The sequence below is a fragment of the Homo sapiens genome, chromosome Y, assembly GCF_000001405.40.
Source record: "Homo sapiens chromosome Y, GRCh38.p14 Primary Assembly".
Classification (NCBI taxonomy): domain Eukaryota; kingdom Metazoa; phylum Chordata; class Mammalia; order Primates; family Hominidae; genus Homo; species Homo sapiens.
In genome coordinates this window covers 11,106,537-11,126,198 of record NC_000024.10, presented here as the reverse complement: position 1 = coordinate 11,126,198, position 19,662 = coordinate 11,106,537, and the positions used below count along the sequence as shown (strand labels likewise).

Sequence of the window (19,662 nt, the reverse complement as noted above, 5' to 3'; positions counted from 1 at the left end):
AATAAATGTTGGAAGGAAATAAAGTTACAACCAACTCTTGTACTGTTGTGAGGAAACAATCATATGTGTTCACAGAAAATCAACTACTAATAGATTTATAATAGCATATATGTAGCAGAAAAATATCAGATATAACTTATATACCCAAAAGTATGACTTAAAAACAGCATGACAATCTTTATGATGGGATATTGTGCAACTACTAGAAGCACATTTTCAGAGATTATTTATTAACATATGATAATGACTACATTGAGTGGTTTTTAGAAGCATGAATTGAAACCATGTATAAGCATGACTTTATTGAACTTATATATAACATTACACACACATTTACATAATTATAAAATAAGTATGTGCATGTTCATAATATGTATTTATTTATATTCATATGTAAGGCCAATAGGAAGTAATCTCTGTATCTGAGTTATTATTTCATAAATAATTTATGCTTGTTCTGTGAAAATAAAAACACTGCTATGGATCTTCCAAGTATCCTGAAAGGATACAGTTTATAATTAAACAACAACAATTTTAGAAATAATTATTTTAAATAAAGCTATGATAAATCTGGTTTCATTGCACACTTTAACTTTGGAACATTTCATGAAGCGTCCCTTGATCACGACTCTCACATTCAGGAGTTTTTTGAGATCAAATGGGACAATCAGTATGAATCTATTTTTTAGACATGCAAATGGATAACTTTAAATAGCAGTAGCGATATAGAGTGCACAGTTGCTCTGGGACAAAACTTGGAAATGAGCATATTTTTAGATTCTTAATGTTTTGCACACTTTAGCATTCCACAGCACCATTACATACTCATTTTTCTACCAGAATATCTTGGTAGAAATTCACAGTAGAGATCAGGCTTGTCCTTCATACATTAACTAATCAAGTAGGAAAGTGCAAATGAGAACACAATGCCAAACATAGGCACCACATGGAAACAAGCATGGAACTGCCAGGAAGACATTTTTGTAGCTTTATAGCCCAATTATATTTTTCCTAATGTATTGCACACAAAACTTGGGGGAAAAAAAAGAGGCAGAGAGAAAACAGGTTATATCAGCCCTATCTCACAATCCACAAGTTCATCCTATCAGAGGAGTAACTATGTAAAACAAACTTTATCTGTTGAATGTCCTATTTAGTTAATCGCAAAACTGTAGGAGTACACACTTGTGACTTATTTAGCAGCTTGTTTGTTCTCTTTCCTCTGGCTTCACAAAGGTCCTTTGGAAAGAGAAAGTACATTTGGAACCCTGTACACCTTTTCTTTCTCCAGTACCCTCTTGTCACTTCCATCACTAAGGTGACAGAAGCAACTATGGGCAATGCATTTGTAGCACACCTGGGTCAGAGGTATCCTCCAGGGGAAGGATCAGACCTGCTTGAAAACATGTCGTTGGAATTGGGAGGCTTCTAGTAGCTATAACATAAGCACTGATGTTTACTGTTCCCTGCCGTCCACTTTGATCACTCTGGGAAACATTTTTTTAAAAAAATCAATTGTATTCAAACATAATTTACATAAAATAAATATTCCTATTTTAAAGTGCACAGTTTGCTGAGTTTTGCCAGATGTAACCATCCAGGTGAATAAAATTGATTAAACTGATCTTTCAAATAATAAATTAAACTTGCAATCTTGCTAGAAATTTAATTTGTTCAGTTTATTATCCATTCTATGTACTGCTACATTCAATTGGTTATTATGTTTTAAGGACTTTTGAGTCTATGTTTATGAGGGATAAACATCAAAGTTGAATAAAGCCTTTGTCTCGATTTGGAATCAGGGCAATACTGGGTTCATAAAATAAGATAGGAAGTGTCCCTTTAGATTCTTTTTTTTTTTTTTTTTTTTTTTTTTGAGACGGAGATTCACTCTTGTTGCCCAGGCTGGAGTGCAATGGCACAATTTCGGCTCTCCACAACCTCTGCCTCCCAGATTCAAGCTATTCTCCTGCCTCTGGCTTCCGAGGAGCTGGGATTACAGGCAAGCGCCACCATGCCCTGCTAATTTTGTACTTTTAGTAGAGACGGGGGTTTCTCCATGCTGGCCAGGTTGGTCTCAAACTCCTGACCCCAGGTGATCTGCCCGTCTTGGCCTCCCAAAGTGCTGGGATTACAGGTGTGAGCCACTGTGCCCAGCCCTTAAATTCTATTTCTTAAAAAGAGTCTGTTCAAGATTGATATTATAGATACTCCTCAACTTACAATGGTCTTATGTCTTAATGAACTCATCCTAAATTGAAAATATTGTAAGTCTAAAATGCATTTAATATATTTAACCTACTGAATATCATGACTTAACCTCGCCTACCTTAAACTTGCTCAGAACATTTACATTATCCTACAATTGGGCAAAATCATGTACCACAAGGCCCATTTTAAAATATTGAGTATCTCATGAAATTTATTGAAAACTATACTGATAGTGAAAAACTGGTCATATTGATGCTCATCATTAATGTACACAGATGAAAGCACCATTATCAAGTCAGAAGAGCACAAGTCAAACCACCGTAAGTTGAGGACTCTCTGTACTTTCTTAAATGTTTGATAGAATTCACCTAAGAAACCATGTAGACTGTAATTATAGAAATCTTTTTAAATTAAAAAAATTCTTCAATACATAGAGAAGCTATTACTTTTTCTATTTCATTTTGCATCAGTTTTAAGAATTAGTTTTACAAATAATTTCCCAGTTATTTTAATTGTCAAATGTATTGGCCTAAAGTTTTCATAATTATATTGATGTCTGTAGGTTCTGTAGTTACATCCTCTATTTAATTCCCATTATCTACATTATGTAGCTTCTCTAATTTTTTTCAAGATAAATCTTGCTAGCCATTGTTTATTAAAAAATTTTTTTCAAAGAACCAATTTGTGGGTATATTAATTAGCTCCACCTTTTGTTATTTGCTATGTTGTTGGTTTACATTTTTATCTTTATCATCTTCCTTCTTCTTAATTTGGATATACTTTGCTCATTTTTTTAGCCTCTTAAAAAAGAACCTAAAGGTCATTGATTGAAGCCTTTTATTTTCAATATATTACATCTATAAATGTACCTTTAAGAAAGGATTTATCTGCATCCCACATTTTATTAAGTTTTTAAAAAATTTTCTTTCAGTTTAAACTTTTTTTTGTGTGTGAAACTTTTCTTGACCAATGGGTTTTTCTGAAGCATTTTGTTTAATGTTCAAATGTTGGGGTGTTATTGTATATATCCTACTGTTGTCCATCTCTGGTTCATGATACAACGCATGTTCTCCATTGCACTTAGTTGACATGTCTCCATGTCTCTGGCGAATTCCTCAGTCTTTCTAAAATGCTTTTGAAGAATACTGGCAGTTATTTTGTAAATTGTCCCTCCTCAATTTCAGTTAGTCTGATGTTTTCTCACGATTAGGACTAAAGTTATACATTTTGTCTAAGAATACCATAGAATTGATGTTTTGTCCTACTCAGTGCATCATATAAGAAGTTGCATGAAGTTCATTTATCTTATTATTAGTAATGTTAACTTTGATCACTTGGCTAAGTTGACATCTCCACTTTGAAGTTACTATTCTATAATTATCTTGTGGGAAGATACTTTCATATTATGCAAAAATGTTCTTTCCCAACATATATTCACCACTAATCTTAGCATCACTCCAAGGTTCTTTCTTGCAACAATTATTACTATGATATTTGCAAAGTGATGATTCTTGTATTTTATGTCTCCTACATTTAATGAAATCTTACTGTAATAAAATACTGCCCATTCTCAACCTTTGGTTTATTATTTATGTCAATATGGATTATTACTTTTTTTTTGAGATGGAGTCTTGCTTTGTCATCCAGGCTGGTGTGCAATGGTGCGATTTCCGCTCACTGCACTTCCACCTTCCAGGATTCAAGCCATTCTCCTGCCTCAGCCTCCCGAGTAGCTGGGACTACAGGCATGTGCCACCATGCCTGGCTAATTTTTGTATTTTTAGTAGAGACAGGGATTCACCACATTGGTCAGGCTGGTCTTGAACTCCTGACTTCAAGTGATCTGCCCGCCTCGGCCTCCCAAAGTGCTGGGAATACAGGCATGAGCCACCGCACCCGGCCTGGATTAATTGAAAATTTTCTTCTGTAGATTGTAATATATTATTATTGTTATTTATTTTATTGCCCCAATTTTCTCAAATTTGGCCATGGAAGTTTATTCAAAGTGGATTCTGTTTCCTTTTCACATTTTCCCCATTTTGTGAGCGTTTCCTTTCTTTCTAACATGACAAAATATTTCAAACTAATCTTGTATTTTCCCTGCCCAATCCTGATATCAAATATGTCCCCAAGGAGCCTTGGTTCCTTTAATTGGAGAATGGTGCTCTCATTGTTACTGGGATGATGTTGTTTCTAGGCCCTTTTGTTAGAGGAGCTAGAAAATGTATGTATGTATACTCACACATTTATACACATCTGTACTTATTTATACAATTATCCATCTGTACGTATACTAAAAACAATGATTTCATAAAACTTTTGACCCCAATCCAACACTAGATAAAGACTATATAGGCCCACTTATTTGCAAATCAGCACATAAACATAGAAGGATTATTAACAATATAAGCTGTAGCTTATGCTGAATGTTGGTTGGAACAGACAATAAATTATGGAGAACTTCAGAGCACACTAAGTTTGGATGGGATCTTGGAAGTCGTACAGGTCAATGCCACTCCATCTATTGGCTGAGTTTCACAGGTTAATACATGAACAACAACAAAAATAACCTAGATCAGAAGTTAAAGATCATTTTATTGACTATCTGCTGTGTCTGTGCCACTGCCATGTACCAGGTGCACTTACGAATCCTCTACTTACAAACTGCTTTTCACAAAATATGAAACTCCAGGCAAAGGCTCATATGACGTTTGTTTTTAAAATCTTTCTACAGCCTTGTATCCTTTTTCCTTCCCTTCCTTTTACCCTTTTTAAAATGTATTATGAGTTTTATGTTAGACTAACATCTGTAATGTTGCTATATGACAGTATTCAGTTGCTGTGTTTGATGAACCATAAAATGATGTAAAACTTCAATTAGTGCACTTTTTAAATAAAGTCTCTATGAATGAATCCAGCAAAATGTTTATGATTTGAGTATTCACAAAATGTTACTTTTCTCTGGATCTAACAATAATGTGAAAACCCAAAATGAATATAAAATATTAGCTAATAATAGATTTCAAAGTATTCTACAAGTATGAAAAATATATGATATTGTTACTTTCATATATGTAAAACATTAATAATTTTTGTCAACATAAACATCATCTTTACACCTAAACTTGTATTAATTCAATTAAGAGTTAATATAGTATCCTAAAGTCATCAAATATTCAAAAATAAGATGTATTCTGACATGGAATATACATAAAATTAACTATTTTCAGCTGAGCACAGTGGCTCAGGCCTGTAATTCCAGCACTTTGGGAGGCTGAGGTCGGCAGATTGCTTGAGATCAGGAGTTTCAGACCAGCCTGGCCAAGATGGTGAAACCCTGTCTCTACCAAAAATACAAGTTAGCCAGGCATGGTGGAACCTGCCTGTAATCCCAACTACTCTGAAGGCTGAGGCAGGAGAATCACTTGAACCCAAGAGGCAGAGGTTGCAGTGAGCCAAGATTGTGCCACTGCACTCCAGCCTGGGTGACAGAGTGAGGCTCCATATCAAAATAATAATAATAATAATAGTAATATTAATAATAACTATTTTCTGTGAGTCCAAAGATAAAATAGCATTACAGAATACCTAATAATCCTGAGTTTGGTTTTCTTGGTTTTATTTTTTCATTTAGTTTTGTTCACCTTAACCAGTGGGCTGGTGGTTCTTAGGTGCACCAAGGTTTTCATTTTTCAGTTCAAGATTTTAAAACCTTAATGTGGTAATTTCTCTAATTTTTTTGACAGTTACGTCCCAGGTTGCAAGTTAAAATAAAATTCCCATTTTACTAAAGTCCTTGGTTTATTAATGATTTTATAATGACTTAATATATAATTTAATGAGTAATGAGGGGTACTACATTTCAGAAATCAACACTGAAGAACTTATTCATGGAAGCAAACACCACCTGTTTCTCAAACACCTATTAAAATAAAAATACATATAAATAATTTTTAAAAATAAACACTAAAAATAGAGTGAAAATGAAAAAATATATATCCAGGTTTAAAAAAAACTACTTCAGTTAAACAATAAATACTTTTTGGGGGGACTCAACTCTACTACAAAATTATTCATTGTTTATTATAATCAATAATACAGGTAAAAGAATAAGTTTTTAAAAATGGAAAAATTGTAAACAATAAAACGATATTAACAAATATTGACATACTGGTGAAGGCCAAGCTCAGTGGCTCCTTTCCAAAGTGGTTACACGAGTCGTGTGTGGTGGCACACAACTGTAATCTCAGCACTTCTGGAAGCTGAAGCAGGCAGATCACTTGAGCTCAGGGGTTTGACACAAACCTGGGCTACATGACAGAACCCCATTTCTACCAAAAACTGTAAAAATCAGCTGCACATGATAGCATGCACCTGTAAGTCCCAGCTACTTAGGAGGCTGAGGTGAGAGGATCACTTGTGCCTGGAAGGTCACAGCTGCACTGGCCATGTTCATGTCACTGCACTCCAGCCTGGGCAACAGAGCAAGATTTTGTCTCAAAAAAAAAAAGTTGGTGACAATTGGAATAATTGGAACTCACATATATTACTGGTGGGAACATAAAATGGTGTAATCAATTTGGGTGTTCTCCTGGCATTTGATTTTTTTAAAAAATCAAGACATTGTTTCCCTATGTTTCCCAGGCTTGTCCTTAACTCCCGAGCTAAGAAAATCCTCCAAACTCAGCGTCTCAAATACCTGAGATTAAAGGTGTGAGCCACTGTGCCTGACCAGTGTAACCACTTTGAAAAACAACGTGGCAGTTTCTCAAAGACTAAATGTATAATAATCACATAATGCAACAATTTCACTCCTGAGTGTAAATCCAAGAGAAATAAAAATATATGTTCCCACTAAAACTTACATACGAATGTTCATAGCAGCCTGACTCATGATGGTGAATACGCAAAAACAACACAAATGTCCATCAACTAATGAATGGATAAACATAAACTATTACTCAGCTGTAAAAGGAAAGAAATCCTGATAACACTATAACATGAAAGAAATTTGAAAACATTCTGCTAAGAGAAAAAAAAAGGAAACTACAAAAGATCACACATTATACAATTCTATTTCTATAAAAGGTCCAGATTAGGCAAAACTACAATGACAGAAAATAAATCAGTGGTTGCCTATGAACATGGGGGATGTAGGAGGTAGTGGCTAAGAGGTGAGGGTTTCTCACTCATAAATGGGTAACTCATAAGTGGGTAATCACTTCTAAGAAAGACTGTGGTGATGGATGCACAGCTCCTTGAATATTCTAAAAACCACTCAATTGTATACTTTCTTTTTTTCTTTAGTTATTTAAAGACAGGGTATCCTTTTGTCACCCATGCTGTAGTGCAGTGGTGCCATCTGGTCTCACTGCAACCTATGGCTTCTGGTCTCAAGTGATCTTCCAGTCTCATGTCCCCAAGTAGCTGGGACTACAGGCATGAGCCACCACACCCAGCTAATTTTTGTATTTTTGCTAGAGATGTTGTTTTGCCATGTTGCCCAGGCTAGTCGCAAACTCCTGAACACAAGCGATCCACCTGCCTCAGCTGCCCAAAGTCTTAGCGTTATAGGAACTAGCCACTGCACCTGGCCTGAATTGTGTACTTTGATAAATGAATTGCATGATACGTTAATCATATTTCAATAACGTTATTATTTTAAAAATGGCTGGGCATGGCGTGGTGACTCACGCCTCTGATCTCAGCACACTGGGAGGCCAAGGTGGGTGGATTGCCTGATTTCAGGAGTTCGAGATCAGTCTGGCCAACATAATGAAACCCTGTCTCTACTAAAAATACAAAAATATTAGCTGAGACTGGTGACATGTGCCTGTAATTCCAGTTAGTTGGGAGGCTGAGGCAGGGGAGTTGCTTGAACCAGGGAGGTGGAGGTTGCAGTCAGCCGAGATCACGCCACTGCATTCCAGCCTGCGTGACAGAGAGAGAGTCCATCTCCAAAAGAAAGAAAGAAAAAGAAAATGGGCATTGAACACAGGTGGCTCCCACCTACGTATAATCCAAGCACTTTGGAAAGCTGAGGCAGAATGATCACTTGAGGCCAGGAGTCTGACAACATCCTGAACAACACAGCAAGTTTCTGTCTGTACAATAAAAAGTAAAGAAGTTAGCTGGGCATAGGGGCAAATGTATGTAGTCCCTGCTACTTGGGAGGCTGAGGTGGGAGGACTGTTTGAGTCCAGGGTTTCAGGCTGCAGTGAACCATGATCACGCCACCGTACTGCAGCCTGGGTGACAGAATAAGACCCTGTCTCTAGAAAGAAAAAAAAAAGAAATCCAAGTTTTTATCACCTTCTGAGAGTAATCAACATTCAGGAGGAACAGAGAACAAAAGACCACTGAATGCTTGAGGGTGGGTTGCTGGTTAGGTTCAGTGGCCAGCTGAGTAGTATCTGAAAAATTCATTAGTAAAATTGTGGGGCTAGGGGAGAGTCATGCAGTCGAATGATGAATCCTAAATCCAGTACAAACACCCATGGTCTTTCTTTACATGAATTCCAGTGAAAAATTTCTAACTGCCTAAAATAGCAAGTGGTCTGAAATGATGGCAGCAGTTTATTAAAGACTGAAAAAAGAGTCCAGGCGTGGTGGCTCACGCCTGTAATCCCAGCACTTTAGGAGTCCAAGGCCAGTGGATCACAAGGTCAGGAGTTCAAGACCAGCCTGGCCAACATGCTGAAACCCCACATCTACAGAAAATACAAAGCTTAGCCGGGCATGGTGACATGTGCCTGTAGTCCCAGCTACTTCAGAGGCTGAGGCAAGAGAAATGCTTGAACCCGGGAGGCAGAAGTTGCTGTGAATTGAGATTGTGCCACTGCACTCGAGCCTGGTGACAGAGGAAGATGCCGTCTCAAAAAAAAAAAAAGAAAAAAGAAATGGCATCTTCAAGAACCACAAGAGAATTCCACGCTGAAGAAGCTCTAATTCTGCATTTACTCAACTATTGATTTGAGTTAGCCAATATGACACTATCTTAGATAAAGTGTACAAACAACTCAATTTCATCTCCTCATTAACAACTGATTAGTCTAATATCAATTCTGATTTTTAAAAAGCTAATTAGAAAAAGAATTAATTATAGAACCAATAAGAGGTTTGAATAGTTACAAGCTATTCAAAGGAGAATTCAAAAAACCACTCAGGTATGAGACCATAAAGTATGATGAAATAAATTTCATTAATATATTTTAAAATAAACTGATTAGACAGGCAACAACACCTGGGCACAGGTCTCCTCACCTCCAGCAACACAAATCCAATCGCGCAGCTATGGGGTTGCAAAGGCTGCATAGTGACAAACAGACTGCTCTGAGTTGAGATTTCTTTACTTGTATCTGTATTCTGAGACCGGGTCTCACTCTGTCACTCTGGCTGCAATGCAGGGGTGCACTCATACCTAACTGCAGCCTTGACCTCCTGGGCTCCGGAGATCCTCCTGCCTCAGCCTCACCATAGCTATGACCACAGATGATCACCAAAACACCCAGCTAATATTTATTTATTTATTTATTTATTTATTTTTTTGTAGAAAGAGGAGCCTTGCTATGTTGCCCAAGCTGGCCTCAAACTCCCTCTCTCAAGAGATCTGCCCACTTCAACAACCTGAGTAACTGGTTGTACAGGAAAATACCACTATGCTTGGATAATTACATTTTATTAATTTTTATTTGCATAGAGAGGAGGTCTTGCTATGTTGCACAGGGTGGACTCAAACTCCTCGACTCAAACAATTCTCTCATCTCTGCCTCCCAAAGAGCTGATGCTACAGGCATAAACCACTGCACCTGGCCCGACTTAAGATTTCTTTAATCAGCATCCCATATTCATATAACTGGGAAAAGCCGTAGTGTTGTTTTTTTTTTTTAATTACTTAGTATTTCAGCAAGAATCAACCATCTCTCACCATTGCCAGGACCCTGGTCAAAACCACTATCATCTCCCACCTGGAGGTTGCCATAGCTTGGCCTCCCTGCTTCTACCCAAATCTTCCCACAATCTTTCTCAACTCAGCCACCATGGGATGGTTTTAAATCAGTAGACAATTTGTGTCACCTCTCTGCTCAGAACCCTTCCGCATCTCCCATCTCAGACAGAATAAAAGCCAAAGCCCCAGCAATAGCCTCCCAGGGCTTACACAATCTGTACTGATCTGCACCCAACAACTCCCTGGCCTCCTTCCCTACTTCTCTCCCTCTCTCTGCTCCACAGGCCTCTTTCCTGAGCTTCAGACACACCACGGAGTTCCCTCTTCGCATCTTTATTCTGTTGTTTCTGCCTACAATGCCCTTCCCTCAGTACCTTGGCCAGCTCCTTCCCCTCCTTCAAGTCTTTGCTCAATTTTCACTTAGGAGGCCAACCCTGACCACTCTATTTAATATTGCTATCTGTTCCTATTCCTGCCATGCTCACTCATTTCTTTTTTCTTTTTTTTTTTTAAGATACAATCTCGCTGTGTCACTCAGACTGGGGTGCAATGGCATGATCACAATGCACTGAGACCTGGAGCTCCTAGGTCAAGAAATCGTCCTGCCTCAGTGCCTCTAGTAGCTAAGACTACAAGTGCATACCACCACAGCCACTAATTCTTTTCCATGTAGACAGGGTATCACTTTGTTGCCCAGGCTTATCTTGAACCCCTGGGCCAAATCAACCATCCTGCTTCAGCCTCCTAAATAGCTGGAATTATAGGTGTGGGCCACCACCCCTGGCTTCATGTTCATTTCTTCTTGCTGCTGTTGCAAAGTACCCTACATTTAGTGGCTTAATACACCACAAATCTACTACCTAACAGGTCTGGGGGCCAGAAGTCCAAAATAGGTCTATTAAGGCTAAAGTCAAGGTGTCAGCAGGACTGCATCCCTTCTGGAGGTTCTGGAGAGAATGTGTTCCCTTGCTTTTCCCAGTTGCTAAAGCCACCCCTATTCTTTGGCTCATGGCCCCTAACTGCATCTTCAAAGCCAGAAGCAAAGCATATTCGAATCTCCCTCTGTGACCTGTGCTTCCATCATCAAATCTCCTTCAATTCCGACTCTCTTACCTCCCTCTTTCACTTATAAAGACCTCTTGTGATTGCTGGACACAGAGGCCGTGGCTCACAACCATAATCCCAACAGTTTAGGAGGTCAAAGCAGGAGAAATGCTTGAGGCCAAAACTTCGGGACCAGCCTGGGAAACACAGTGAGACCCCCTCAATTAAACAACAAAAAGAAATAAGAAAAAATTAGCTGGGCATGGTAGTATGCATCTGTAGTTTCAGCTACTTGAGAGGTTGTGGTGAAAGGATCGCTTTAGCCCCAGAGTTCAAGACCAGCCTCGGCAATATAACAAGCTCCCATCTCTACAAAAAAAAAATACAAAAATTAGCTGGGCATGGATGGTGTGCACCTGTAGTCCCAGATGCTTGGAAGGCTGAGGTGGGAGAATTGCTTGAGCCCAGGTGGTTGAAGCTGCAGTTAGCTACAACTCCATCATTGCACTCCAGATTGGGTGAAACAGAGACTCTGTGTTCAAAAGAAAAAGAAAAGAAATACACATTTGGTTTCTGCCCCTCATCCTGGCACAGAGCTTCTCAAGTTCTTATAAAGGCCTTGGTGATGAAGGTGATGGGGCATCTTCTGTTTCAATATTTGGTCTTAGTCGCAGGTTTCTAACACAGGAGCCTTTAATACCTTTGGGATCACCATAGTAAGAATGGATTTGGTGATGTTACTGAGATGACTGGGTGACTGAAAGCTCCTAGACAGCTTCAGAAAAAGGGCTGGTAGTTGTCAGAAGAACAAACCATGTGATTAGAGGCTTGGAACTGTCAGCCTCACCCACTGGGCTCCAGGAAGAAATAGTGGCCGAAGACTGACTTAATCACCAATGGTCAATGACTTCATCAATCATGCCTGCATAATGAAGCGTTCATAAGCGCCCTCAACAACTGGAGTTGGAGAATGTCTGGGTTGCTGAACACAAGGGAGATACCAGGAAGGTAACATGCACAATAGAGGACATGGAAGTTCTGTACCCCTCTCAACATACCTTGCCCTGTGTGTTTTTTGTTTTTGTTTTTGTTTTTTTTGAGACAGTGTCTGGCTCTGTCTCCCAGCCTAGAGTGCCATGGCACAATCGTGGCTCACTGTGACCTATGCCTCCCTAGCTCAAGCCCCATCCTCTCATCCTCTCACCTCAGCCTCCTGAGTAGCCAGAATTATAGGCACTGAGTAGCTAGAACTATAGATAACTGTGCCTGGCTAATTTTTAGAAAAATCTTTTTGTAGAGATGGATTTTCACCATGTTACCCAGGCTGGTCTTAATCTCCTGAGCACTTAAGCGATGCTCCCACCTCAGTCTCCCAATGTGCTGAAATTACAGGCATGAGCCATTGTGCCCAGCATGTACATCTCTTTCACTGGCTGTTTCTGAGATTTAGCCTTTAAAATGAACCAGTAAAATAAAGTAAATTGGTGAGATGCAGTGGTTCATGCCTATAATCCCAGCATATTGTGAAGTTGAGGTGGGAGGATCATGTGAGCCCAGAAATTTGAGACCAGCCTGGGCAACATAACAAGACCCCATCTCTACAAAAAGTAAAAGAACATAGCCAGATACACTGGTACAGGCCTATAATCTCAGCTCTTTGGGAGGCTGAGGTGGGAGGATCACTTGAGCCCAGGAGTCCCATGCTACAGTATGCTTTGATCACACCACTGCATTCCAGCCTGGCAACAGACTGAGACTCTGTATCTCAGAAAAAAAAAAAGAAAACAATCTGTTTTTCTAATTTCTGCAAGCTGTCCGAGCAAATGATTCCACCCACCAATGGGGGTCAAGAAACCGTGTTTTCTAACTGGTTGGTCAAAACTACATGTAACAACCCAAGACTTTCAATTGGCATGTGGAGTGAGGGTAGATTCCTGGGACTGAGTCCCCATCCTGCGGGGTCTGCACTAACTGCAGGGAGTGTCAGGATGGAATTGTGGGATACCCAGTTGGGATCCAGATTGTCCAAAAATCAGTGTAGAAATTCCACACACACATTTGGTCAGAGGTGTTCATGACAAAGGTCTATTCTTTCGAACTAAAAATCACAAAATTGTAAGTTCTACAAAAACAAATCAACCTTATCTACCGCCCAGTCCTACCGAACTACAGAATGTTAGAACAGAAGGTCTGACCATGGAGTCGAGAGCTGACAGGAATGTCACCACCATCCTGCTCTCCAAGGACTCCTCATCTTCAACAGACTCCTCATCTTCAATGGGCAGGGTGGAAACTGCAACTTCTGCCATGATCCTTGCACAAGAAAAGTAGTAAGAAAATGAGTGGTAGAAATCCAGTGTCCTAAACTCACATCCAGAGCTGTGAGAGTTTTTTACCAGCTGGATAATTCACAGTTTTCTTGAATCAGGGGAAAAATAAGACTCAGAAACTAGGAATTCGTTTTGCCCAAAACTCTCATCAGATACAGAATCCATCCGCTAACTATCTAGTATTATTTCCATAAGTTAGATCAATTATCACTCCCAAAACAAATGCACATGCACCCAGAATCTGTGCATTTCTCCCAAGTAAAAGAGGAGGTGGATGAACTCAGTGTCTCATGCCTTTAACCCCAGCACTTTGGGAGGCCAAGGTGGGTGGATCACCTGAAGTCAGGAGCTCAAGACCAGCCTCCCAACATGGTGATACCCTATCTCTACTAAAAATAAAAAAATGTTAGCCAGGTGTGGTGGCATGTGCCTGTAGTCCCAGCTTCTTGGGAGGCTGAGGCAGGAGAATCACTTGAAACCAGGAGGCTGAGCTTGCAGGGAGCAGACATCACAGCACTTCACCTGAGCCTGGACGACACAGTGAGACTCTGTCTCAAAAAAAGGGGGGGAGGAAAGGAGGCAAGGAACTTTACAACCCAGTGATGGGCTACCACAATTCAACACAGCAAAGAGGTGCCAAGCTCCCTTTCTCCCCTGCACAACCCGACAGAGAAGAGTTGGTGCAGTGGAATGAGGCTGGGTGGAGAGAAGTTCCTCTTCTTTCTTTCTTTCCTTTTTTTTTTTGAGATGGACTCTCGCTCTGTCACACAGACTGGGGTGCAGTGGTGCAATCTCAGTCACTGTAACCTCTACCTTATGGGTTTAATCAATTCTCTGCCTCAGCCTTCCGAATACTGGGATTAGAGGCACCCCCCCACCACCACACCCAGCTAATTTTTTTTTTTTTTTTGAGTGGAGACTGGGTTTCATTATGTTGGCCAGGCTGGTCTTGAACTCCTGACCTTGTGATCGACCTGCCTCAGCCTCCCAAAGTGCTAGGATTACAGGCATGAGCCGCTGTGCCCAGCCAAGAAGTTCCTCTTCTTACTTAGAAAACAGATCACAGAGCATCAAGTAACACGTAAAATCCCTTATAATAAGCAGTATTATTTTTGGATAACCTTTCCTAATATTTTGGTATCAGCAAAAAGCCTCAGATTAATTTCAAACACTCTAAAAATACAATACATAAACAGAAAATATTAACTGTCAGCAATGCTATAGAGAAATTGGAAGCTGTATGCATTGCTTTTTGGAACGTAAAATGGTACAGCCCACTGTGGAAAATGGTTTAGCAGCTCCTTAAAAATATGAAGCACAGAATTATATGATCCATCAACACCCTTTAAGCATATATACCCAAAGGAACTGAGAGCAGGGACTCAAACAGGTGTTTGTACACCCGATTAACAGCAGCATTATTCACAGTGGCCAAAAGGTCGCCCAAACCTAATGCCCATCAGTAGGTGAATAGATAAAGAAAATGTAACATATACATACACAGAGTATTATTCAGCCATAAAAAGAAAAATATCTGGCCAGATTCAGGGTCTTACACCTGTAATCCCAGTATTTTGGGAGGCCAAGGTGAGCAGGTCTCTTGAGCCCCATATTTTGAGACCAGGCTGGACAACATGGCACATTTTGTTAGAAGTGTTTGACCATAACTACCATTCCAGAAAAAGATCTACTCATTAGAACTACAAATCATAAAATTATAAGTTCTACAAAAACAAATCAACCTTATCTACCACGCAGTTCTACCCAATTATATCATGTTAGAACAGAAGGTCTCACCGTGGACTCGATAGCTGATATGAGCAATGTCACCACCATCCTGCTTTCCACGGAATCATCTTCAACAGACTCCTCATCTTCAATGGACTCCTCATCTTCCATGGACTCCTCATCTTCCATGGGCAGGGTGGAAACTGCAACTTGTGCCATGATCCCTGTGCAAAAAACTAGTAAGAAATTGAATGGTAGAAATGCAGTGTCCTAAACTCACATCCAGAGCTGTGAGAGTTTCTCACCGGCTGCTAAATTGTTTTTTGCGTCAGAGAAAAAAAACTTGGCAACTTGGTATTCGATTTGCCCAAAACTCTCATCAGATAGAGAATCCATCTGCTAACTTTCTATCTAGTATTATTTCCATGAAGTTACAACAATATCACTCCCAAAATAAATTCAGGTGGAAGACTAAATCCAAAGCTAGCAGAAGGAAAGAAATAATAAAGAACATAATTAGAGCATAAATCAATAAAATAGAAGATTGGAGAGCAGTAGAATGAAAAAATGTGGATTCTTTGAAAGATCAAGCCTTTCACTATATTGACTGAGCAAAAGATGGAAGACTAATTATTAAAATAATAAATGAAAGCAGAGCCATTACAACCAACTTTACAGAAATACAAAAGGATTACAGGAGTATACTGTGAACAACTGTCTAGCAACAAATTAAGTGCCCTGGATGAAATGGATGAATCGCTAGAAAGACACAAACTACCAAAGTGGCTCAAGAAGAAAGAGAAAATCTGAACAGACCTATAACCTAGGAGATTGAATTAGTAATCGAAAGCGATTAACAAAGAAACATTTGTGACCAAATAGCTGCATTAAGTGGTGAGTCAACCTAACATTTAAAGAATAATTAATACCATTTCTTCTCAAACTCTTCTGACAAAATATATGAAGAAGGAATACTTGTTAATTCATTTTTTGATAACAGCATTATCCTCATACCAAAGACAAAGAGAGCACAAGAGAAATACAGCACTATATCCCTTATGAATATATAAGCAAAAATCTCAGCAAAATACTAGCAATACTAGCAAAATACTAGCAGCAATACCGTATAATCAAAGGATTGTAAACTATCACCCTTTGAGATTTATCCCCAAAATGCAAGGGTGGTTCAACATATAAAAAATCAATCAGTGTAATATGCTGTAAAAGTAAAATGAATAAGCACGTGATGATTTCAATTGATGCAGAGAAAACATTGATGAAATACAACACCCTTCTATAATAAAAATACTCAATAAACTAAGCATAGAAGGGATCTTCTGCAACATGACAATGGGATGTACAAAAACCCAACAGTTAATATCATGATCAATGATGAAACACTGAAAGCTGTTTTTCTAACATCTAGAAGAAAAGGATAGTGCATTTGCCACTTGTATTCAACGTAGCACTGGCAGTTCTAGCCAGAGCAATTAGGCAAGACAAAGAAATAAAAGGCATCTAAATTGGAAATAAAAAATAGGTGTAAAATTATATCTACACATGATCTTATGGGTACAAAGCTCCAAACAAAACACAAAATGGATTATAACTAATAAAAGAGGCAGGATGCAAACAAACATAGGCAAATGAGCTATATTCCTATATAGTTGTAAAGAACTATGAAAACATTTTAAAAATTCCATTTATAATGACATCAAAGAATACGTTATTCAGGCATAAATCTAACCGTGGTGGTATACAAAAACTTTGCTGAAAAAAACTAAAGAGAGTGGAAATAAGTGGAAAGACATTCTGTGTTCACGGGTTGTAAGACAATATTGTTAAGATGACAATACCATCTAAAGTAATCTACAGATTCAATGCAATACCATCAAACTCCCAAAGGCATTTTTGCAGAAACAAAGAAACTCATTCTAAAATCATACAAAAATTCAAAGGATCTCACAGACAAAACAGTCTTGAAAAAGAACATTGGAAAACTCACATTTTTTCAGTTTCACAGCCTACTACAAATCTACAGTAATCAAGAGAGTATGGTACTGGAATAAGACCAATAGACTTTCAGACAAATACAATAGAATAGATTTGAGATCCTACAAGTTAGTCTGTTCAACAAGGTGACTGTTCAACAAGGTGGCCAAATCTAGTCAAGGGAGGAAAGAACAGTCTCTTCAACAGCTGGATGTCAGTGCACAAGAGAGAAGTTAGACCCCTACCTTGCAGTATATACAAAAATTAATTCTAAATTAATAAAAGACTTAAATGTAAGGACTAAAAATATGTAACTCTTAGAAGAAAGCACACGGTAAACCTTTATGACCTTTCAGTTTTAAGTGTATTTTGAAATATGACAGAAAAGCACAGATAACAAAAGAAAATACACGAAAATTAGATTTAATCAAAATAAAAACCCTTTATGCATCAAAGGATACTATCAAGGGAGTGAAAAGACAACCCATAATATGTGAGAATATATGTATCTGATAAAATCAAAGTGTGAATCTGATAAAAGCTTAATATCCCACAACTCAACAACAGAATTTCTAAGATCCCAATTAAAAAATAGGCAAAGGACTTGAATAGACATTTCACCAAAGAAGATACACAAATGTCTAAGAAGGACAAGAAAAGATGCTAAACACCGTTATTCATTAATAAAATGCAAGACAAAACCCAAATGAGATGCCACTTTGCATCCACTAGTAAGGCTTTCGTAACAACGACACAGAAAATCAATGTTGCTAAGGAGGTGGAGAAACTGGAGCCCTCATGAACTGGCTGCTAGGAATAGAAAATGATGCACTTGCTGTGGAAATCAGTTTAGTGGTTCCTCAAAGAATCACACAGAGAAACAGGCGCCGCTGGCTTGCGGGTTCTCCTGGGCTGGCGCGGGACGTCCCGGAATCGCAGGCGCGCATCCCTTCCTGCCTGAGGGCCCGCCTGGCCGTGACTCCCGCCCCTCTTCTCCTCCGAAGAGAGATCGGGGCCACCCCAGGGGCCGTCTGCAGCCACCGGGGATGGGGCTGAGGGTCGGTTCCTGCCCCGGTGCAGCCGCCCCCGGGCAGACCGCCTGGCTTGGTCGCAGCCACGGCGACATCTAGCCCCGGTTCTGCGAGGCTGGGACCGCCAGCCAGCTTGAGAGTTGCCCGGCGCCTGTAGCTGGGCACCCAGTTGGTGGAGCATACCCTGGGCGGCCTCTGGATCGCGGGTACCCCTGGGCTGAGAGCCTGCCAGACCCTGCCCCCACCCGTCTCCTCCTCTGCCATAGCTCCAGATCTCTATCCAGGGGCCCTCTGCAGCCACCGGGGATGGGGCTGAGGGCCGGTTACCGCCCCTGTGCAGCTGCTGCAGGACAGACCGCCTGGCTTGGCCACAGCCACAGGGACATTTGGCCCTGCATCCGAGATGTGGGGAGTGTGGGCTGGCTCGGGAGTTGCCTGGAGGCTGCTGCCTGCACGCAGAAGGCGGCTGCAGCTCGGGTGCCCAGGCGAGCTGGAGGTGCGTGGCCTGGTTGGCCTTGGGATCTACCCAGCGCGCCCAGGCTGAGGGCCCCCCAGGCCGTGCCTCCCGCCCACTCCTCCACCTGAGGGAGATCAGAGCCGTTTGTATGGGCACTCGGCAGTCACCCCATGTGGGGTTGAGCGGTGGGTTCTCAGTTCTCGCTCCTGTGCAGCTGCTGCCGCAGGGCAGAATGCCTGGCTTGGCCGCAGCCACTGGGACACCTGGCCCTGGTTCTGCGATGGTGGGAGCGCGAGTGGGCTCGGGGGTTGCCAGGCAGCTGCTGCCTGCACACAGAGGGCGACTGCAGCTTGGGCGCCCAGGCAGGGGAGCATGGTCTGGGTGGCTTCTGGAATGCGTGAGCGCCAGACCTGAGGGTCACCCTGGTGGAGCCACCTACCCTGGTCTTCCTCTGCCGGAGCCTGGAGCAGCTGGAATGGCCACTATTCAGTCACAGGGGATAGGGTTAAGTTTTCTTATCCCACACATGCACACAAAAAGGTAACTATTCTGTGAGGTAATAAACATGTTAATTGACTTCATTCATGCCACTCTGCACCCACAAGTAAGGCTTTCATAACAATGACACAGAAAATAAATGTTGCTAAGGAGGTGGAGAAGTTGGAGCCCTCATGAACTGGCTGCTAGGAATAGAAAATGATGCCCTTGCTGCAGAAAACAATTTGGTTGTTCCTCACAGAATGAGCATTGGGTGAAAAATGAAATCAAGATGGAAATGTAAAAAATTTCTTCGAACTGGATGACACAACCTATCAAGACCTCTGGGATACAGCATAGGCACTGCTAAGAGCAAACTTTGTAGTCCTAAAAACCTACGTCAAAAAGTCTGAAAGAGCACAAACAGACAATCTAAGTTCACAT

At 40.4% G+C, this 19,662-nt stretch overlaps 1 pseudogene; it reads right to left on the bottom strand.

The window, feature by feature from the left end:
• Window positions 1-18,063: 18,063 nt before the first annotated feature.
• Window positions 18,064-19,170, bottom strand: LOC107987335 (uncharacterized; annotated as a pseudogene).
• Between the last annotated feature and the right edge of the window lie 492 nt (window positions 19,171-19,662).